At 38.3% G+C, this 24,065-nt stretch overlaps 1 protein-coding gene across 29 annotated transcripts in view; it reads left to right on the plus strand.

Moving 5' to 3' along the window:
- LMO7 (LIM domain 7) overlaps nucleotides 1-24,065 on the plus strand; it is a 239,437-nt gene that overhangs the window by 94,262 nt on the left and 121,110 nt on the right. For all 29 annotated transcript variants that reach the window (NM_005358.5, XM_047430323.1, XM_047430329.1 and 26 more), the window contains one exon: nucleotides 12,334-12,403. In NM_005358.5, the coding sequence (NP_005349.3) occupies nucleotides 12,334-12,403 (70 nt within the window). The remainder of the gene's footprint in view (nucleotides 1-12,333; nucleotides 12,404-24,065) is intronic.

A 24,065-nucleotide genomic window follows, 5' to 3' on the forward strand; every position in this document is an offset into this window, starting at 1 on the left:
ATAGTGTTTAAGCTAATTTAAGTAGACCACATAGCCCAACTGGTCACTAATGGGAAGTTACTTTATCTTAATTTGAAAACAGTATGATTTAAATGTACTCTAGTAATGTTTAGAAGATGGAGGGGAAACATTGCCTATTAGAAAGAGGCATGTGACCTGCAAACTACTTTAGCTATTATTTAAATGTTTGCAGTAAAAAAAAAAAGCCATCAACCATACACCCCACAAGTCTAAATAGGAATTGGGTAGGTTTGTGCCTTCAAGGAAGTGTGCCTATGAAGCACGGAGTTTCTTTTTAGATTTACAAAAGCATATATCTCGAATATATGATCTTTCAAAGAAGTAATTTTGTAGGTTATATATTTCCAGTAATGAACTATTGCCCATAATATTTTAGGGGTCCCACTTTTGGGGCATTGACCCCATAAATAGATCATTAAACATGTTTGAGAATGACTACCAGGTTTTGATTTAAAATGCAACTTATGCACCAGCCTGGGCTCTGAATGATGAGAAGTGATTTCCAAAAGCTATACCCAGCCTGAAAAGATCTGCATAGTGTGACCAAGGAGGATATTCAGAGTTGATGAAAAACTATTGTGAGCACAAGCAGTACAGGTTAGAATAAATATGTAATTTCTACCTTAATGGCAACAGCAAACATTTGGATGAATGTTTAGAGATATATTGGCTTTTTAAAAAGTCACTTTAATTCTCAGACTTCCAAAGCTAATTCTAATATTGTTTTCTAATTGGAATTTTTCTAATTTGGATTTTGTGCATTGCCACATAAGTCTAATCAGTCTCTTAGTACCCAGTATTCTTTAAATTAATGTTTCCCAAAAGTAGCTTAAGTAAATCTGAAGCCATGGTAATCAGCAATTGTAATTTACTGTGGGACACCAAAGTCCTGCATAATATTTTTATTAAAAAATCTTTCTCTAAATTGTGAATCACGTTGTTCATAGTCACTGTTTGATGACGACACATTCATCTAAAAGCTGTGGTGTTAACGAATAAAAAGCCCAGATAACCATATTTAGTATGAAACCTGTAACTGAGGAAAGCCTGGCTGGTTGCACTCTGAAATGATTAAGCAGGCACTGCTGTTTGTGGCCACATCCACCTGTGTTATATATAATGCCTGAGAGGAAAACAAAGTCAGCTGTTCAGAGATCTGGTATTACAAGCCCTGACTTTTTAATTAGTGGTAAATATAGTAAGCTATCTGTCTTTGAGGATATTTTACCCACTAGAGATCCCAAGTTTTAGGTGAAATATGATTAGGATATTTTTAAAACCTGAATTCATTTTCGTACAGGAAAAGGCTGACTTCTATCTGGCTCACTGCCAGAATCATATTTCTTGTGAAATACAGGTTCTGCTTGTTGCCTATTAGAAACCTCTAGGCATTCTCATTCATTACCACCATTAAAGATTTTCTTAATATTTCATCCAGTAATTTCAGCAATTTTAAAAAAATCCATTAGTAGTACTCTTTCCTTTTGAACTGGTGTTCTGAAATATCAAAGTCAAAAGTTCGAATAGCTTATAGCTTTCACCCAATTGGAAGTGTACTGACATTTCAGATAGTCTAAAGTGGGGATAAACCATGCACTGAGGTTTCAGACAAGATACACATTTGAGTAATGAGGATAGTTATATGCGTTCATTGCCTTTTAATCTGATTGACTATTGAAATTAGTATCTTCATGTTAGTCATTTTAGTGTTGTTTAGTTTGACTGTGGCATCTAGTGAGTTGGGATTTCATCAAGGAATACTCCCTTGATGAAAGTCTATGATTGTAGTCTCTCTTGGTTTTACTAAACAGTGAGATGGGAACACTGTCTGATATTTTTGCTTTTCTAATTAATAAAAGGATTGACAAGTTTTTATAAGGTGATTTTAGTTCCTTGTTATAATGTGCTATGAATTTTATTAATAGTGTTCATTAATCTGTCTTCTTTCTTCAGTATTTCTTAGTGTTCATGTGGACTGCCTTATTATATATATTTAAAAAATATAAAAGATGTATCACTTCATCAGTGTCCATGATCTTATTTTGCTCTGGGTTCTAGCAGAATTATTCCTCCTTTCCAAACATATTTGGTTGAGACATAAACAGCTAATGATATCAGTAATTTCCCAGTTACTCATCTTATGATGACAATCTTGGAAATATTCAAATGAAAACACTCTTTTTTTTTTTTTTTTCTCTGATGAAGAAAGAAGATTTGCTTGACGATAGTCTGATTGGGTGTGTCAGTGGTTAGTCAGTCTGTACCTCCCATCCCTGGAATGATCCCAAGTCTCTGCCACAGTCAGCTATGCATCAGAAGTTTATGCCTTTTTGAACACATGACTCACAGTAAGAACACTCTTCTCGGCCGGGCGCGGTGGCTCACGCCTGTAATCCCTGCACTTTGGGAGTCCGAGGCGGGCGGATCATGAGGTCAGGAGATCGAGACCATCCTGGCTAACATGGCGAAACCCCGTCTCTATTAAAAATACAAAAAATTAGCCGGGTGTGGTGGCGGGCGCCTGTAGTCCCAGCTACTCGGGAGGCTGAGGCAGGAGAATGGCGTGAACCTGGGAGGCGGAGCTTGCAGTGAGTGGAGATGGTACCACTGCACTCCAGCCTGGGCAACAGAGTGAGACTCCGTCTCAAAAAAAAAAAAAAAAAAACACACAAACAAAAAAACACAACTCTTCTCTCACTGTCACCAGGTCTTCTTTTTCCTTTCTTGTATCTTGGAAAGACAGGAGCAAGATATTCACCCCTATCGGTGTTCCTATTTGTATCAGCCATGTGACCACAACAGTATCTGCCTAAAAATACTGTAATAATTTATTAAAGATTATATATATACATATTCAATAGAAAAATATATATTTTTTTATTTTTACAAATACTACTGTTTACTCTGGGACACTCAGATGATCATTTTAAGGCACGGGGTAAGATAGAGAACTTTGTCACTTGTCATTCCTGCCAAGAGAGCTCTATCTTTTTGTTGGAGTTGGAGATCTCCACCCACACATGGAGTGCCGGTGACATGGGTAGGCCCCCTGGGGCTTCCATGCAGTGCTCCATGGGAAGCCCAGAGGCTTTCATGTAGTGGGAAAGGCTTTTTTTCTTAGAGGTGTTTCTGGTTTTGAATTTCCTGAGGAGGACAGTTGCTTACATACAGTGCTCCAGCATGCCAACACTATTAACCCTGATCTGTTTTTACAGCCTTTTGAAATTTAGTGAAAACTGTTTTTCTTCACTTTCAAGTAATATAAGCTTTGCAGTTTCCATGTTATGTGATAGCCCAGCAATAGGCAAACAATGGTGTAAGGGTTCAAGTTCATAAAAATGAATGTAAAAATTTTAATCTGTTTTCACTTAATGGCAGTATTTTATGGTTGGCATTTGCATGCCTTTTTAAGCATCATGGTTCGTTTCACCTGTGATGTAATATCTGTGTCTAGCAAAAACATGATTTTTTGTTTCAAAGAAAGAGTATGTCAAGTTGAAAGTCAGCTTGGCAAACATGAACTTAAAAATTCACTTCAGTTATGGTAGAGACACTCTAAAGACTCATTTCAAGTTTTGCAGAAGGTTTTTAATATTGTGGCCTTAAAGTTGAGGGTTGAAATCCTGGAGAGAGACTGATATATCACTCTTATTTACCTGAGGGATCGAGAGGAATTTAGTAACATTACTTCGTAGTTAAATAGTACAGGAAGCCAGGTCCCTCCGTTAGATTCCTTTTGCTTTCTGTTGTTTTTGTTTTGAAGACTTTTTAAAAGAACAGTTTTGGGTTCACAGAAAAACTGAGGGGAAGGTACAGAAAGATCCCATATTTTCCATGCCCCCACATATGCACAGCCTCCCCCATTATCAACGTCCCCCACCAGAGGGGTACATTGGTTACAAATGATGGACCTACATTGACACATCATCATCACCCAGAGTCCATGGTTTACATTAGGGTTCATTCTTGGTGTTGTACGTTGTATGGTTTTGGATAAATGTGTAATGACATGTACCCATCATTATAGTATCATCCAGAATTGTTTCACTGCTGTAGAAATCCTCTGTGCTCCTCCTATTCATCCCTCCCTTACCTCTAATCCCTGGAAACCACCAATCTTTACTGTCTTTATGATTTTGGCTTTTCCAGAATGTCACATAGTTGGACTCATACAGTGCATAGCCTTTTCAGATTGGCTTCTTTCACTGAGTAATATGCACTTACTTCCATGTCTTTTTATGGTTTGATAGCTCATGTCTCTCTCTTTTTTTTTTTTTTTTGAGATGGAGTCTCACTCTTGTCCCCCAGGCTGGAGTGCAATGGCGCGATCTCGGCTTACTGCAACCTCCGTCTCCTGGGTTCAAGCGATTCTCCTGCCTCAGCCTCTCGAGTAGCTGGGACTACAGGCACGCACCACCACGCCTGGCTAATTTTTGTATTTTTAGTAGAGACAGGGTTTCACCATGTTGGCCAGGCTGGTCTCGAACTCCTGACCTCAAGTGATCTGTCCGCCTTGGCCTCCAAAAGTGCTGGGATTATAGGCGTGAGCCACTGCACCCAACCAGTTCGTGTCTCTTTAGTGCTGAATAACGTTCTACTGTCTGGAGGTTCCACAGTTTGTTTATTCATTCATCAAATGAAGGCCATCTCGGTTGCTTCTCAGTTATGGCAATTATGAATAAAACTGCTATGAACATCCATGATATGGTTTGGCCCTGTGTCCCATCCAAATCTCATGTCAAATTGTAATTCCCAGTGTTGGGGGAGGGACCTGATGGGAGGTGATTAGATCATGGGGGTGGATTTCCCCCATGCTGTTCTCATGATAGTGAGTGAGTTCTCACGAGACCTGATGTTTTAAAAGTGTGTGGCACTTCCCCCTTCACTTGCTGTCTGTCCTTCTCTGCCACGGTAGGACCCGCTTGCTTCCCCTTCACCTTCTGCCACGATTGTAAATTTCCTGAGGCCTCCCAGTCATGCCTCCTGTTAAGCCTGTGGAATTTTGAGTTAATTAAACCTCTTTTCTTCATAAATTACCTAGTCTCAGGTAGTTCTTAATAGCAGTGTGAGAATGGACTAATACAATCCATGTGCAGTTTTTTGTGTAAATGTAAATTTTTAGCTCCTTTTGGTAAATACCAAGGAACATGATTGCTGGATCATATGGTAAGAGTATATTTAGTTTTGTAAGAAACTGCCAAACTCTTTCAAAATGTCTGTACCATTTTGCATTTCTACCAGCAGAGAATGAGAGTTTTTGTTGTTCCACGTTGTTGTCAGCATTTGGTGTCGTCCGTGTTCTGAATTTTGACCATTCTAATAAATGTGTAGTGGTATCTCATTATTTTAATTTACATGTCCCTGATAACATATGATGTGGAGCATCTTTTCATGTCCTTATTTGTCATCTGTGTGTCTTCCTTAGTGAGGTGTCTGTTAAGGTCTTTGGCCCATTTTTTAATCAGATTTTCTTTTTGTTGACTTTTTAAGAGTTCCTTGTATATTTTAGATAAGAGTCCTTTTTCAGATATGTCTTTTACAAATATTTTCTCTCAGTCTGTGGCTTGTCTTTTTATTCCCTTGACAGTGTCTTTCACAAAGCAGATATTTTTAATTTTAATGAAGTCCAGTGTGTCAATTATTTCTTTTACGAATTGTGCTTTTTGTGTCTTGTCTAAAAAGTCATTGTCAAACCTAAAGTCTCTAGACTTCCCCCTGTGTTTTCTTCTAGGAGTTTTAATAGTTTTTGGTTTTATATTTAGGTCTGTGATCCACTTTGAGTTCATTGTTGAGAAGGGTGTAAGGTCTGTGTCTAAATGCCGTTTGCCTTTGATGTGACATTGGGAAATTTTCTACTACTCAGTGAAATCCATTAGTGCTATAATTATTGAGGGTCTCAGAATAAGAGGTATCTGCCCTGAGACTATTCAAGCTTTGCTAGACTTACTTCAGGATGCTTCAAGCACAACAGTGAGGCTATATAATAAAGTTCCATCATAAGAAAGTGATGACTATAAATTACATTGGTACTGACGTTGCTGTTGCACACACTTTCCCATCTTAGCATTTACTGTTAACTTTTACTGTGTGTTGTAGGTAATTCAGCAGTATTCAAAATTACTACCATAGAAATTCTAGAAATTAACATCAATTTTACTAGCAATCTTTGAAAATATTAAAGTTATCATAAATATTTATATTGAATGCTTTTAGACTTTTAAATTATATATACTGGTTATTTTACTCATGGACATGTGATTACTTATTTTAAAATATTGCAGCTTATGAATTTAAATAAAAGTTATTAATTTAAAATTTTAGTAAGGCATTTACTTAATTAAGATAACCAGTCCAAGTTAATGTATCTGATAGTTTACTCTTTTGATCAACATTGACAATAAGTAGAGAATATCAAGGTTTGACTTTTCTGGCAACAAAAAAATACTAGGGAGGAGTGTTGTTGGTAAGAGCAAAAAGCAATTTCTAGCATTTGAAAGCAGAGGTAAAATGTTTAAAAATTTCTTTATAAAGAAGATAGAGATTTTGAAGAATTTGTTTGATATTTCACAGAAATATTTCTGCATTAAAAACTGGGCAGTGGATTTTAATAAATATCTGTAAAGCACCTATGAAATGCCAGGTTTTTTTTGCTAAGTGCTAGGCGATGCTGTTTGGAGAGGGAGAGGGTTGTCTGTGCCTCTGGTAGCTGGACCGTCTGATTGCTCTGCTGCTGATCCCAGCACATTGCCATATTTAGTACACATTAAAATGCTTAATGAGCAGAATTTGTGTTTAGAGGAAAAGTAAGCAAATTTTGTTTTAAACAAAACATTGTTTTGTTTAACAAAATTGGTTTTTCATTCCTGAGTTACTTCACTTAGAATTAATGATCTCCCATTCTGTCCAGGTTGCTGCAAATGCCATTTCATTCCTTTTTATGGCTGAGTAGTATTCCATGGTATATGCATATATACACCACATTTTCTTTATCCACTCATTGATTGATGGGCATTTGGGCTGGTTCCACATTCTTGCAAGTGCAAATTGCACTGCTATAAACATGGGTGTGCAAGTATCTTTTTCATATAATGACTTATTTTGATAAGTCATTGTTTAAACAAAAATCATTGTTTAAAATAGGCACATAGACCAATAGAACAGAATAAAGAACCCAGAAATAAAGCCAAGTATTTACAGCCAACTGCTCTTCCACAAAGCAAACAAAAACATAAAGTGGGGAAAGGACACCCTATTCAACAAATGGTGTTGGGATAATTGGCAAGCCACATGTAGAAGAATGAAACTGGATCCTCATCTCTCACCTTATACAAAAGTCAACTAAAGATGGATCAAAGACTTAAATCTAAGACCTGAGACCATAAAGATTCTGGAAGATAACATTGAAAAAGCCCTTCTAGACATTGGCTTAGGCAAAGACTTCATGACCAAGAACCCAAAAGCAAATCCAACAAAGATAAATAGATGGGACTTAATTAAATTAAAAAACTTCTGCACAGCAAAAGAAATAATCAGCAGAGTAAACAGACAACCCACAGAGTGGGAGAAAATCTTTGCAATCTATACATCTGACAAAGGACTGATATCTGTAATCTACAGGGAACTCAAACAAATCAAGAAAAAAACAATCCCATCAAAAGTGGGCTAAGGACATAAATAGACAATTCTCAAAAGAAGATATACAAATGGCCAAAAAGCATATGGAAAAATGTACAGCATCGCTAATAATCAGGGAAATGCAAATCAAAACCACAGTGTAATACCACCTCACTCCTGCAAGAGTGACCATAATCAAAAAATTAAAAAAAAAATAGTTGTTGGTGTGGATGCAGTGAAAAGGGAACAGTTTTACACTGCTGGTGGGAATGTAAACTAGTACAGCCACTGTGGAAAACAGTGTGGAGATTCCTTAAAGATCTGCCATTACTAGGTATCTACCAGAGGAAAATAAGTCATTATATGAAAAAGATACTTGCACACCCATGTTTATAGCAGCGCAATTTGCACTTGCAAGAATATGGAACCAGCCCAAATGCCCATCAATCAATGAGTGGATAAAGAAAATGTGGTGTATATATGCATATACCATGGAATACTACTCAGCCATAAAAAGGAACGAAATGGCATTTGCAGCAACCTGGACAGAATGGGAGATCATTATTCTAAGTGAAGTAACTCAGGAATGAAAAACCAAATATTATATGTTCTCACTCATAAGTGGGAGCTAAGCTATGAGGATGCAAAGGCGTAAGAATGATACATTGGACTTTGGGGACTCGGGGGAAAGAGTGGGGAGTGTTGAGGGATAAAAGACTACATATTGCGTGCAGTGGATACTCCTCAAGTGATGAGTGCACCAAAATCTTAGAAATCACTACTAAAGAACTCATTCATGTAACCAAACTAACCAAACACCACCTGTTCCCCAGAAATCCACTGAAATAAAAAAATAAAAGATTAAAAAAAAACCCAAAATCATCATTGCTCTTTAATTTGTGAACAAAATATAATGCCTTTATTATATCTTTAAAACTTTAGTTACTAATAGAAGTTTGATAATGTGAGGATGTATATTTAGAAAATGTATGTGACAGAAAGATATTAGAAATATTCATGTGTGAATGACTAATAAATCACAGGTTAAAAAGTTCATTCAGTGTATTGATATGTTGTTCAATGTCATCTTCCTTGTTCATTGTGAAAATCTTTGGAAATAGGAGCTCAAAAGGTGTCCATAAATTTTGTACCTCAGCTGAAAAGCTTTCTGATAAAGGGAAAAATGAGATTTGGCATTTAGAACTAGCTTCTGGACACTATTAGAAATAGAGCATCAAATTCTGTTCTCACTAAAGCTTTTATAACTGAGCCAGACATTATATTGAGCTTTATATACAGTTTTCTGAATTGAGTTATATTTAAAGTGGGTTATATTCACTGACAAGGCTTTTGAACAGAGCCAGCTCTCTAGTATCTGTCATTGTGCAACTCCTTTGAAGGGAGCGGACAATTTGAAAGTAAGGGAGGGGAGTGAGAAGAAAAGGAAGGAGGCAACTTGAGAGATGTCTTAGTCTGTTTGGGCTGCTGCTATATCAAGATACCATAAATTAGGTAGTTTATAAACAATAGAAATTGATTTATCACAGTTCTGGAGGCTGGGAAGTTCAAGATCATGGCACTGGCATATTTGGCATATAGTGAGGACCTGCTTCCTTCATAGACAGACTTCTCACTGCAACCTCTTGTTGTGGAAGGGGCAAGGCAGCTTTCAGGAGCCTCTTTTATGAGGGACCTAATCCCATTCATGAGGGTTCTACTCTCATGACCTAATCACCTTCCAGGGGCTCCACCTCCTAGTACTGTTACTTTCAGGGTTAGGATTTCAAAGTATGAGGTTTGGGAGGAATTCCAACATTCAGATCCTAGCAAGGGATGAGCTGAAGGAGAAGGAGAGAAATTGCAGGCCAAAACTGTGAATGCTCTGACTTGGGAACTGTCAGATTACTAGGTGCTTCCTTCTGGTTTTAATCCTACCAAAAGAGCAAGCCTCTGCTGTACTAACCAAGCACATAACCAGGTTTAGGCTCTGGCCTAGGGAAAGTCTTGGGGGAAGAGAGAGAGAATTCTACCTAGGGCTAGAGGGATGGAACAAGGGAATACAGGCTGAAAAAATGGCTCCTTGACTGATTCTAGATCCTAGTACATAGAGGTATCTGGAAGGTTATTATGTTATCTGAATCTTGAATAGAATCAGTTACCTGAAGCCAGTGTTACCTTAGGAATTCCATATGTGTGATTGAAGATTGCTTATTATGCAAAGAAGTTCTATTTGTAGAAGAGTATTTCCATAGATGATACTTGTTTTTGATTTGACATAAGGCTATGCCCCTAATCCTCTAGGCAGACTTAAATTTCACAGAAGTTTAGATTTTATAAGACCCATTGTTTTTCTCCTTAGAAGAACTATTCTAAAAGGGTTTCCTTTAATTTTATATGAAAATAATTTTTGATGATTCAAAATTTAATGGGTGTTCAGTATTTGCCAAGACTATATGTGTCTTTTCTCCGTCTTGTAGTCCTTAGAATTGTGACTACTAACAAAATAAAACAGAGTTTTCCTTTAGTGACTCAATTTTTTAGAGGCTACTTTGTGTGTTATTCAGATTATTGTTTTTTCCTCAGCTCATTTCCGTGTTTGCACATGTACTTGAAGGTTTAGGGTGGAAAAGGAATGCTAATCCATTGTGTGTCTGTCACTTCTAAGTAATAGCTTTGAACCTTCTGATGAGGGAAGTGTTAATTAACTCATTATTGGGAGACATCATTTATCTTTTCTATTTCCTTTACCTGTATCTCTTACTTCCCTTGGCTGACCAAATTGAGAGTAGGTTGTGCTATTATTAATTCCAGAAACTGTATTTTTTTTAAATGTACTTTCTCTTATGAAACCTGTAATATAAAAATGGTATGTGATATAAACAGGTTAACTGAATGACCTGGCCAAAGTCACCAGTGACTCAAATAGGTGGAGCAGAAATTTATGATACTCTTCCTCCTGCCAGACTTTCCTGACATTTTATATGTTGCCTCAGCTCATAATGGCCTCTAATTTATGTCATTTAAAGATCAAATTTCAAAATACACGTTACTATAAGTCAGTGCTGAGCTAGTGCTCACAAACTGCAAATAATTTCTTGATTTATACTTTCCAGAATTATGTTCCTATTCAGTAATGCTACAGTTACTAGTTCTTCTATGCATTGCAAGAATGCCACCAGTAACAGAAATATAGAAATACCTTGTTAATAGGGAACAACTAGAAGAATTAATTTGCAATTGTTATTTCTTATAAACTTACTCAATTCTTTTCTGACTCCTCAGCTAGTGATTAAGAAAAAAATCATGTGGACATGAAGGGAGAAAGCTTTGCTTTCTACTTGGCTTTCTGTGTACAAATCAGAAATTAGGTATCATGGAATAATTGTTCTAGGAAATTGCGTTGAGAGAATGGTATTATTAACTATATTAACTAACTTGTCTAATGATCTTTGTGTGTAGAAACCATGAAAACAGGAAAACATCTTTGTTCACCAAACTAGATCTTCATAAGCCACTGTTTTATAATTTTGAATCCTGTTGAACAACATTCTGTAGGTTATTAAATCAAGACTTTTGTCTTTTTTTATTTCCAGCAAACTCAAGTGTGTATATATAAGTCTTTGGAATGTTGAAGGAGTGACATTCCACAGGCTTCAGATTTTTTTTTTTTTTTGCTGCCCATTGTGCTAAGGAGACCAGTAAATTAAGAATGTTTAATGATTTCTCCTTTATTTGCTTTCTTTTTGGAGCTCTGTTACAGCCTAAAAAATTAGTTCTTGTGGATGGGTTTTTGAATAGGAAAATTAGTTTCAAGATATTGTTCTCTGACAGTGATTAATGATTAATTAACCAAGCTAACATTAATAGAAAAGCATTTTTATAGTATTAAATTTCTACGCAACCTGGCACAGTGTCAGTGAACAAATCAAGAAAAAAGAATTCATAATAATCTAGATTTAGAAGCAAAATCGTACTCAAGTTTCAGTTGTCAAAGCTGAGTTTCTTTTTTATAGAGTTGGCAGACATAGATATCTTTGCAGTGTCTTCCATATTAACTTAAACTGGTTCTGTTTAATCTAAAATACTAGATTCTGAGGTAACTTAGTTAATTTGGGGGAGTTCTGGTACATTGAATTTAATGTTTGCCCAGTCGTTCTGCTGCGGTAATAAAGCAATCAATTATGGACTTGAATGAGTTACCAATAAAAACTAGTTCACTATTTGTATGAGTCCAGCTCACCTTTTAAATGTGGCAAAATAATATGATTTTGAAGCTACCTTTAAAAATGATCAGTTTGAGAAAAACAATCAATGAAAACTATTAGTAGAAAATAGTATTCTTTGGGTGAAGTGAGATAAATTATGATGAAGAGATTCTTAAACTGGCAGTTGAAGCAGAACGAAATATTACTTTTCTTTAATGTGAAACTAACTCTTTGAAGGATGGCTTTGGATATAGAAGTGGGTCTGTGTCTCCACATAAAGGATATAGACTATGGAGAACAACTCACCATTGTGTGTGGTGCTCTTCTTTGTCTCTAGACTTGATATCTTGGTTATTTGCTTTTTGATGGGCTGTTGGCTCTCTGTATAACACATTGAGGGGAGGGAATAGTGATATATGTGATTTTTGAGAATGCTAACAAAAAACCTGATATTGGCATCTTGTAATTGCATCTGTTATTTATTTACTTTCAGTTTGATTAATAAGCTTAAACCTGGCGTCATTAAGAAGATCAATAGACTGTCTACACCAATAGCAGGATTGGTAAGTAGTAAATTATCTTCACAACTAAATTTATTTGTCTTTGAAATGTAAAGAGGTGGGCATAGGCAGATTTTTGTATCTGCAATTACCACTGAAATTAGGTTATGGTTTTTTTGCTGAAGCAAAGTGTGTTTGGTGATGTCCTCCTTTTATCTGCAGTTCCTTTCTCTGTTTCCCTTTTGCCTGGAGGCTTTTATTTATTTATTTATTTATTTAATAAGAAAAACTAGATGTATATTTAAATGGCACAAATGATATAGATGACATACTTGTGTTTTAGTGGTTACTAATTTCTAAACTAAATTGCTAATTTTAAAAATGAAAAATGCATGTATATAGTAGAAAATTTCAACATCAAAATATATACAAAGTACGAATACCTTCTACCTCAGATCCATGTTTCCTATTTTCTCCTGTATCATTTCAGAAAAATTTAATTTACAAATAAACATATAATATGTACTTATGTATATATAATTTTAGATAAATGGTAGCACATGTATTGCCTATACTTTGCTTTTTTCTCTTTTTTTATTATTATTATACTTTAAGTTTTAGGGTACATGTGCACAACGTGCAGGTTAGTTACATATGTATACATGTGCCATGCTGGTGTGCTGCACCCATTAACTCGTCATTTAGCATTAGGTATATCTCCTAATGCTATCCCTCCCCCCTCCCCCAACCCCACAACAGTCCCCAGAGTGTGATGTTCCCCTTCCTGTGTCCATGTGTTCTCATTGTTCAATTCCCACCTTTGAGTGAGAACATGCGGTGTTTGGTTTTTTGTCCTTGCGATAGTTTACTGAGAATGATGGTTTCCAGTTTCATCCATGTCCCTACAAAGGACATGAACGCATCATTTTTTATGGCTGCATAGTATTCCCTGGTGTATATGTGCCACATTTTCTTAATCCAGTCTATCATTGTTGGACATTTGGGTTGGTTCCAAGTCTTTGCTGTTGTGAATAGTGCCGCAATAAACACATGTGCATGTGTCTTTATAGCAGCATGATTTATAATCCTTTGGGTATATACCCAGTAATGGGATTGCTGGGTCAAATGGTATTTCTCGTTCTAGATCCCTGAGGAATCGCCACACTGACTTCCACAATGGATGAACTAGTTTACAGTCCCACCAACAGTGTAAAAGTGTTCCTATTTCTCCACATCTTCTCCAGCACCTGTTGTTTCCTGACTTTTTAATGATTGCCATTCTAACTGGTGTGAGGTGGTATCTCATTGTGGTTTTGATTTGCATTTCTGTGATGGCCAGTGATGATGAGTATTTTTTCATGTGTCTTTTGGCTGCATAAATGTCTTCTTTTGAGAAGTGTCTGTCCATGTCCTTCGCCCACTTTTTGATGGGGTTGTTTGTTTTTTTTCTTGTAAATTTGTTTGAGTTCATTGTAGATTCTGGATATTAGCCCTTTGTCAGATGAGTAGGTTGTGAAAATTTTCTCCCATTTTGTAGGTTGCCTGTTCACTCTGATGGTAGTTTCTTTTGCTGTGCAGAAGCTCTTTAGTTTAATTAGATCCCATTTGTCAATTTTGGCTTTTGTTGCCATTGCTTTTTGTGTTTTAGACATGAAGTCCTTGCCCATGCCTATATCCTGAATGGTAATGCCTAGGTTTTCTTCTAGGGTTTTTATGGTTTTAGGTCTAACGTTTAAGTCTTTAATCCATCTTGAATTAATTTTTGTATAAGGTGTAAGGAAGGGATCCAGTTTCAGCTTTCTACATATGGCTAGCCAGTTTTCCCAGCACCATTTATTAAATAGGGAATCCTTTCCCCATTGCTTGTTTTTCTCAGGTTTGTCAAAGATCAGATAGTTGTAGATATGCAGCATTATTTCTCAGGGCTCTGTTCTGTTCCATTGGTCTATATCTCTGTTTTGGTAGCAGTACCATGCTGTTTTGAGTTACTATAGCCTTGTAGTATAGTTTGAGGTCAGGTAGCGTGATGCCTCCAGCTTTGTTCTTTTGGCTTAGGATTGACTTGGTGATGCGGGCTCTTTTTTGGTTCCATATGAACTTTAAAGTAGTTTTTTCCAATTCTGTGAAGAAAGTCATTGGTAGCTTGATGGGGATGGCATTGAATCTATAAATTACCTTGGGCAGTATGGCCATTTTCACGATATTGATTCTTCCTATCCATGAGCATGGAATGTTCTTCCATTTGTTTGTATCCTCTTTTATTTCATTGAGCAGTGGTTTGTAGTTCTCCTTGAAGAGGTCCTTCACATCCCTTGTAAGTTGGATTCCTAGGTATTTTATTCTCTTTGAAGCAATTGTGAATGGGAGTTCACTCATGATTTGGCTCTCTGTTTGTCTGTTATTGGTGTATAAGAATGCTTGTGATTTTTGCACATTGATTTTGTATCCTGAGACTTTGCTGAAGTTGCTTATCAGCTTAAGGAGATTTTGGGCTGAGATGATGGGGTTTTCTAAATATACAATCATGTCATCTGCAAACAGGGACAATTTGACTTCCTCTTTTCCTAATTGAATACCCTTTATTTCCTTCTCCTGCCTAATTGCCCTGGCCAGAACTTCCAACACTATGTTGAATAGGAGTGGTGAGAGAGGTCATCCCTGTCTTCTGCCAGTTTTCAAAGGGAATGCTTCCAGTTTTTGCCCATTCATTATGATATTGTCTGTGGGTTTGTCATAGATAGCTCTTATTATTTTGAGATATGTCCCATCAATACCTAATTTATTGAGAGTTTTTAGCATGAAGGGTTGTTGAATTTTGTCAAAGGCCTTTTCTGCATCTATTGAGATAATCATGTGGTTTTTGTCTTTGGTTCTGTTTATATGCTGGATTACATTGATTGATTTGCATATATTGAACCAGCCTTGCATCCCAGGGATGAAGCCCACTTGATCATGGTGGATAAGCTTTTTGATGTGCTGCTGGATTCGGTTTGCCAGTATTTTATTGAGGATTTTTGCATCAACGTTCATCAAGGATATTGGTCTAAAATTCTCTTTTTTGGTTGTGTCTCTGCCAGGCTTTGGTATCAGGATGATGCTGGCCTCATCAAATGAGTTAGGGAGGATTCCCTCTTTTTCTGTTGATTGGAATAGTTTCAGAAGGAATGGTACCAGTTCCTCCTTGTACCTCTGGTAGTATTTGGCTGTGAATCCATCTGGTCCTGGACTCTTTTTGGTTGGTAAGCTATTAATTATTGCCACAACTTCAGATCCTGTTATTGGTCTGTTCAGAGATTCAACTTCTTCCTGGTTTAGTCTTGGGAGAGTGTATGTGTCCAGGAATTTATCCATTTCTTCTAGATTTTCTAGTTTATTTGCGTAGAGGGTTTTGTAGTATTCTCTGATGGTAGTTTGTATTTCTGTGGGATCAGTGGTGATATCCCCTTTATCATTTTTTGTTGCGTCTATTTGATTCTTCTCTCTTTTTTCCTTTATTAGTCTTGCTAGCGGTCTATCAATTTTGTTGATCCTTTCAAAAAACCAGCTCCTGGATTCATTAATTTTTTGAAGGGTTTTTTGTGTCTCTATTTCCTTCAGTTCTGCTCTGATTTTAGTTATTTCTTGCCTTCTGCTAGCTTTTGAATGTGTTTGCTCTTGCTTTTCTAGTTCTTTTAATTGTGATGTTAGGGTGTCAATTTTGGATCTTTCCTGCTTTCTCTTGTGGGCATTTAGTGCTATAAATTTCCCTCTACACACTGCTTTGAATGTGTCTCAGAGATTCTGGTATGTTGTGTCTTTGTTCTCGTTGGTTTCAAAGAACATCTTTATTTCTGCCTTCATTTCGTTATGTACCCAGTAGTCATTCAGGAGCAGGTTGTTCAGTTTCCATGTAGTTGAGCGGTTTTGAGTGAGTTTCTTAATCCTGAGTTCTAGTTTGATTGCCCTGTGGTCTGAGAGACAGTTTGTTATAATTTCTGTTCTTTTACATTTGCTGAGGAGAGCTTTACTTCCAACTATGTGGTCAATTTTGGAATAGGTGTGGTGTGGTGCTGAAAAAAATGTATATTCTGTTGATTTGGGGTGGAGAGTTCCGTAGATGTCTATTAGGTCCGCCTGGTGCAGAGCCGAGTTCAATTCCTGGGTATCCTTGTTGACTTTCTGTCTCGTTGATCTGCCTAATGTTGACAGTGGGGTGTTAAAGTCTCCCATTACTATTGTGTGGGAGTCTAAGTCTCTTTGTTGGTCACTCAGGACTTGCTTTATGAGTCTGGGTGCTCCTGTATTGGGTGCATATATATTTAGGATAGTTAGCTCTTCTTGTTGAATTGATCCCTTTACCATTATGTAATGGCCTTCTTTGTCTCTTTTGATCTGTGTTGGTTTAAAGTCTGTTTCATCAGAGACTGAGATTTCAACCCCTGCCTTTTTTTGTTTTCCATTTGCTTGGTAGATCTTCCTCCATTCTTTTATTTTGAGCCTATGTGTGTCTCTGCATGTGAGATGGGTTTCCTGAATACAGCACACTGATGGGTCTTGACTCTTTATCCAATTTGCCAGTCTGTGTCTTTTAATTGGAGCATTTAGTCCATTTACATTTAAAGTTAATATTGTTATGTGTGAATTTGAACCTGTCATTATGATGTTAGCTGGTTATTTTGCTCGTTAGTTGATGTAGTTTCTTCCTAGTCTCGATGGTCTTTACATTTTGGCATGATTTTGTGGCGGCTGGTATCAGTTGTTCCTTTCCATGTTTAGCGCTTCCTTCAGGAGCTCTTTTAGGGCAGGCCTGGTGGTGACAAAATCTCTCAGCATTTGCTTGTCTGTAAAGTATTTTATTTCTCCTTCGCTTATGAAGCTTAGTTTGGCTGGATATGAAATTCTGGGTTGAAAATTCTTTAAGAGTGTTGAATATTGGCCCCCACTCTCTTCTGGCTTGTAGAGTTTCTGCTGACAGATCCGCTGTTAGTCTGATGGGTTTCCCTTTGTGGGTAACCCGTCCTTTCTCTCTGGCTGCCCTTAACATTTTTTCCTTCATTTCAACTTTAGTGAATCTGACAATTATGTGTCTTAGAGTTGCTCTTCTCGAGGAGTATCTCTGTGGCGTCCTCTGTATTTCCTGAATCTGAATGTTGGCCTGCCTTGCTAGATTGGGGAAGTTCTCCTGGATAATATCCTGCAGAGTGTTTTCCAACTTGGTTCCATTCTCCCCGTCACTTTCAGGTACACCAGTCAGACATAGATTTGGTCTTTTCACATAGTCCCATATTTCTTGGACGCTTTGTTTGTTTCTTTTTATTCTTTTTTCTCTAAACTTCCCTTCTTGCTTCATTTCATTCATTTCATCTTCCATCACTGATACCCTTTCTTCCAGTTGATCGCATCAGCTCCTGAGGCTTCTGCGTTCGTCACGTAGTTCTCGAGCCTTGGCTTTCAGCTCCATCAGCTCCTTTAAGCTCTTCTCTGTATTGGTTATTCTAGTTATACATTCGTCTAAATTTTTTTCAAAGTTTTCAACTTCTTTGCCTTTGGTTTGACTTTCCTCCTGTAGCTCGGAGTAGTTTGATTGTCTGAAGCCTTCTTCTCTCAACTCGTCAAAGTCATTCTCTGTCCAGCTTTGTTCCATTGCTGGTGAGGAACTGCGTTTCTTTGGAGGAGGAGAGGCGCTCTGCTTTTTAGAGTTTCCAGTTTTTCTGCTGTTTTTTCCCCATCTTTGTGGTTTTGTCGGCTTTTGGTCTTTGATGATGGTGATGTACAGATGGGTTTTTGGTGTGGATGTCCTTTCTGTTTGTTAGTTTTCCTTCTAACAGACAGGACCCTCAGCTGCAGGTCTGTTGGAGTTTGCTAGAGGTCCACTCCAGACCCTGTTTGCCTGGGTATCAGCAGCGGTGTCTGCAGAACAGCTGATTTTCGTGAACCGCGAATGCTGCTGTCTGATCGTTCCTCTGGAAGTTTTGTCTCAGAGGAGTTCCCAGCCATGTGAGGTGTCAGTCTGCCCCTACTGGGGGGTGCCTCCCAGTTAGACTGCTCGGGGGTCAGGGGTCAGGGACCCACTTGAGGAGGCAGTCTCCCCGTTCTCAGATCTCCAGCTGCGTGCTGGGAGAACCACTGCTCTTTTCAAAGCTGTCAGACAGGGACATTTAAGTTTGCAGAGGTTACTGCTGTCTTTTTGTTTGTCTGTGCCCTGCCCCCAGAGGTGGAGCCTACAGAGGCAGGCAGGCCTTCTTGAGCTGTGGTGGGCTCCACCCAGTTTGAGCTTCCCAACTGCTTTGTTTACCTAAGCAAGCCTGGGCAATGGCGGGCGCCCCTCCCCCAGCCTCACTGCTGCCTTGCAGTTTGATCTCAGACTGCTGTGCTAGCAATCAGCAAGACTCCGTGGGCGTAGGACCCTCCGAGCCAGGTGTGGGATATAATCTCCTGGTGCGCCGTTTTTTAAGCCCGTCGGAAAAGCACAGTATTGAGGTGGGAGTGACCCGATTTTCCAGGTACCATCTGTCACCCCTTTCTTTGACTAGGAAAGGGAACTCCCTGACCCCTTGCGCTTCCCGAGTGAGGCAATGCCTCGCCCTGCTTTGGCTCATGCATCGTGCACTGCACCCACTGTCCTGCGCCCACTGTCTGGCACTCCCTAGTGAGATGAACACGGTACTGCAGATGGAAATGCAGACATCACCCGTCTTCTGCGTCGCTCATGCTGGGAGCTGTAGACTTGAGCTGTTCCTATTCGGCCATCTTGGCTCCTCCCTTATTTTAATTTTTAATTGCTTGTTTGTTTTGATGTTTGTGCCCTCAAACTTCATATGTTTCCTTTCCTGGCTTATTTCTTCCACAAATTGCATTTGTTCAGGGTCACCTTCTGAAGCTCAGCCCTGTGTGCGCTGTTTGCTGGCTACCACAATGGTGGCCCAGACTGCGAGATGTGCACCAGTTGTTATGTTTCTGCCACATGATGCTTGTGCATTACCCTCAGCCAGCACACAGATCCTAAGTGCATTTCCAAAATAGTCAAGGCCTGCTAACTCTGTTACTTTATGTAATAGGTTTCCCACCAAAGTCCTGTGTGAGGTTGCACAAGTCTCTGTCTTTCTCTTTGCCACAATAATATTACCCATAAAATGAATGTGATGGTTCTGTAGGTTCTTTCTAGCTTTCAAATCAGGATTTTGTGTATAAAATATACCCCACACTGTCCCAAGGTAGCTACTCAGACGGGGTAAGACATTTCAGAGGACAATAATAATGCGGGGCGTTGTCTGTGGAAATAATTTACAATCAAATACAAATGATGGATAATTTTTAAAATGTTAGAAATCCTTAAAAATCATTGCAATGATAGGAGTCTGTTAAGTCAACTTCAGAAAACTCTGAAGTTTAAGATAGCTAATAATTAGAATGTAAACAGAAACCTTACTATTTTTACACTATTCATGCTGTTTATAGTGCATTCAGGAAGCTTCTGTTTGACCATTCATGTGTTTACAGATGTTAAAGGCATGGGTAATTAAAGTTAGCAATACCAAAATTTCTGGATTTGCACAAGTTATGAAAATGTCATTAAATTCTTGATAAGGGTGTTGGTTGCAGAGTGTTTCTCAGAAAATATCTGTCTAGGAGAGAAGGAATGAAAAATTTTTAATAATTTTATTTCAAAATAAAATATACATAAAGTTCCCAGAGCAGCTGGGCTCAAATATTAATTCCTTCCTTCCTACCAAGTTGCCTCCATTCTATATCTATCATTAATAGACAGCTGACCTAATAATTTTAGTGGTTTCAAATTATATAGGCCGGGTGTGGTGGCTCACGCCTTTAATCCCAGCACTTTGGGAGGCCAAGGCGGGCGGATCACAAGGTCAGGAGATGACGACCATCCTGGCTAACACGGTGAAACCCTGTCTCTACTAAAAATACAAAAATTAGCCAGGTATGGCTCTGTGTGCCTGTAGTCCCAGTTGCTGGGGAGGCTGAGGCAGGAGAATGGTGTGAACCCAGGAGGTGGAGCTTGCAGTTAGCCGAGATCACGCCACTGAACTCCAGCCTGTGCGACAGAGCGAGACTCCGTCTCAAAAAAAAAAAAAAATTACGTGTGTGTGTGTGTGTGTGTGTGTGTATGTATGTACATACACATGGAGCTTTACAATTTAAATATTTCTACCCAAGTTTTATCCTGTACTTCTCTAAAAATCATTCTCATGCTGTGACTCTACTTGTCCCACCCCCACTCACCCCCTCTTCAGGAGGAGAGGGGAGGTTTGTAGGACCCTGGAGCTTGTGAGCCCTTTCCAAAAATGGGAGAACACCTAAGATTGGTGGGTTCTGTGTGTATTTGTATACACACACACACACACACAACTTTCTACTAGTAATACAGTGAGTCAGAAGAGGTTTGTTATTTAAGGAATAAAATGAAAAAAATTTAGTTTTTGAAGTCTGTTTTAAAATTTTTTTGAGATGGAGTCTCACTCTGTCGCTGGGCTGGAGAGCAGTGGGGTGATCTTGGCTCCCTGCAAACTCCGCCTTCTGGGTTGAAGCGATTCCCCTGCCTCAGCTTCCTGAGTAGCTGGGACTACAGGCGCGCGGCACCACACGCAGCTAATTTTTTTTTTTTTTTGTATTTTTTTTTAGTAGAGACAGGGTTTCACCACGTTGGCCCGGGTAGTCTTGATCTCCTGACCTTGGGATTTGCCCGCCTCGGCCTCCCAAAGTGCTGGAATTACAAGCGTGAGCCACTGCGCTTTCTTGGAGGAAATATTCAGTTTAATAAAACAAATAAGCTTTATATAAAAATGACTTATAAAATAACTTATTATTATATAATATACTTTTAATAGTAAGTTTCAATAGTATTGAAAATATTTTTTCAAATGGCTTGAATTAAATAGCTTATTGCTTTAATTTAAAATTGTCATTTCTTGGATCAATTACATGCATTTTAAAGCAAATTAGACTTTGATCTCAAACACCCTGCATATTTGGAATGCTCGAATTGTAGTGGTTTGTTGTTGTTGGCCAGTGGAGGTTTTATTCAATTTTCTGATCGTATGATTATATGAAAGCACAAATGTATTTTATTTTTAAATTCAAAGATCTCTCCAAGTATTTCTATTTCAAGCTTCAGAAATTCTATCTAGTTTAGATTTTATCTTTAGAAATTAAAGTGAACTGTGTTTCCGGTATATTAAATAGGAATATTTTTCGAATACAGGACACTGAGCATTTTCAATTGGCTATAGGAGCATAAGAGTGACCACAGCTGCAGAACTGGGCTAAGCCCAATTGGTTTAAAGTTGTCATCATGCCTCACTTGACTCCTTCTGATGCCTGTTTGTCAGGATGGTTATATTAAAACTTTTCAAAGCCTTAATTCCAAGTATGAATTAGGGCTCCAGCAGATGCCTGGAAGGGTTGTTATGAGGACTAAAAGGATAATATACAGATGGTCTGACATGCAGATAGTCAAAGAATGTTTGTTTTTTAAATAAATAATTGAATGCCTACTAGGTTGAAGATTTTTCTAGTTTACAGCTGCGTATCAGAGGAACAAAGAAGTCACAAACCATGATCTCAAAGAGTTTACATTCTAGTGAAGGAGGGACGACAAGGCAAATAAATTAGCAAACAAGCAAGAAAGCATCACGTAATAAATGTGCCACAGAGCATTACAGTGGACTGTGACATTTGCTGCATGTCCATGAGCAGTTGTAGGGGAACTGTGAAGACTGACCTCTAAGGATTCCTTGAGGAGGAGGATGTTAGAAGCCTTAGTTGACACTTCCAGAAGAAGAATGAATAATCTGAGCCAGACTTGTCATACTAGCCATTTTTGTGTTCACAGCATCTAGCATAGTGACTGATACATATAGGAGATCAAAGGTTTTTTAAAGAAATGAATGAACAAGATTTCCATTGTGAAAAATAATAGATTCTAGAATTGGGTCTTTGATGGGATAGTGCTATAGGTTGAATTGTTCCCCCCAACCCCAAAATTAAATATATTGAAGTCCTAAGCCCCAGTACCTTAGAGTGTGATCTTATTTGGGAATAGAGTTGTTGGAGATGATATAACTAGTTATAATGAGCTCATACTGGGGTAAGGAGGGCCCCTAATCTTAATATGACTGGTGTCCTTCTAAAAAGATGGCCTGTGAAAACACAGACACACAGGAAGAATGCCATATAAAGATAGGATTGGAGTGATGCATCTACAAGCCAGAGAACACCTGCGATTGCTGGCAAATCATAGATTTCATAGGGAGTGTGGCTTTGCTAACACCTTGATTTTGGACTTGTAGCATCCAGAATTGTAAGACAAAAAATCTTTGTTGCCTTAAGCCACCTGGTTTGTTCCAAAAGGAACAAAGTACCAAATATAGCTCTAGGAAATTAATACAGATAGGTACATGTTTTAGTTAATACCTTTTTTAAAAAAAAAAAAACTTGGCCGGGCGCGGTGGCTCACGCCTGTAATCCCAGCACTCTGGGAGGCCGAGGCGGGCGGATCACGAGGTCAGGAGATCGAGACCATCCTGGCTAACACGGTGAAACCCCGTCTCTACTAAAAATACAAAAAATTAGCCGGGCGTGGTAGCGGGCGCCTGTAGTCCCAGCTACTCGGGAGGCTGAGGCAGGAGGATGGCGTGAACCTGGGAGGCGGAGCTTGCAGTGAGCCGAGATCGCGCCACTGCACTCCAGCCTGGGCGACAGAGCGAGACTCCGTCTCAAAAAAAAAAAAAATAAAATAAAATAAAATAAAAAAAAAAAAAAAAAAACTTTTTACTTTGAAATAAATATAGATTCACAGGAAGCTGCCAAAAAAAAAAAAAAAAAAAAAACACAGTACAAAAATGTCCTCTGTACTCTTCACCCAGTTTTCCCCATTTCCAGCAGAATTTTTTTGGTGTCTCTTAGTTGAGGTTCCCAAAGAGGAATCTGAATGGATTCCTTTTCTTTGAAGGCTACAGATATCCCAGGTCACTGGCCAGCCTGTGGATGAGTTCCATAAGAAGACAGTCGTCTTGGCCAAATGAGCTGTGGTCAGGAGTGTTGTTTTTTTTTTGGCTCATTCAGTTCAGGTTGACGTGGGTACTGTGAAGGAGGTTTGTGTAAGGTAGATTCACCAAGGCGATTCAAATATAGTAAAAATTTCTGTGTAAGGGTTTAAGCTGAGTTGTTACGGTGTTCCACACCCCATCTTCCATTACTCCTTTCTTACATCCTTTGCTATAGTTATGCTTTTCATCCAAGTAACCTCAGCTACCATGTGTATTTAGCTTCGGTGTCAGGGCAATGGATTTACCTTTTGCATATGGACCTGTGGGAAAACCATAGAAGATATCCCTTGAGCAATGGCAATACAGAGAGAGATGTTAAGATGGTTTGGAAATATATTGAATGCTTTGCTTGAAACATTCATGCAATTATTTTTTCTTTGGGAGGACAGTAACCATGTTTTCCTAGATTTTTTTTTCTTATAGAGATAGGGCTTTTCTCACTTGGCTGAGTTTAATTTTATAAAGAAATACATGTTCTCTATCTCTTCTTTCTGTTCTTCACAAAGCCATGTTTTTTAAAAAAATCTAACCCAAGAGTTTGAGTCTTCCAGAAGAATAGCTGTTGTTAAATGTGGGTATGTTCAAATCACTGAAACTCAAAACCAAAACTTTATTTGGGATTTTTTTTAAAAAACCCAATCTCAAAACAAAACCTTGAAAAACAGGTGAGATATCCT

This window comes from Homo sapiens, chromosome 13 (assembly GCF_000001405.40).
Source record: "Homo sapiens chromosome 13, GRCh38.p14 Primary Assembly".
In the NCBI taxonomy this organism is placed as follows: Eukaryota; Metazoa; Chordata; class Mammalia; order Primates; family Hominidae; genus Homo; species Homo sapiens.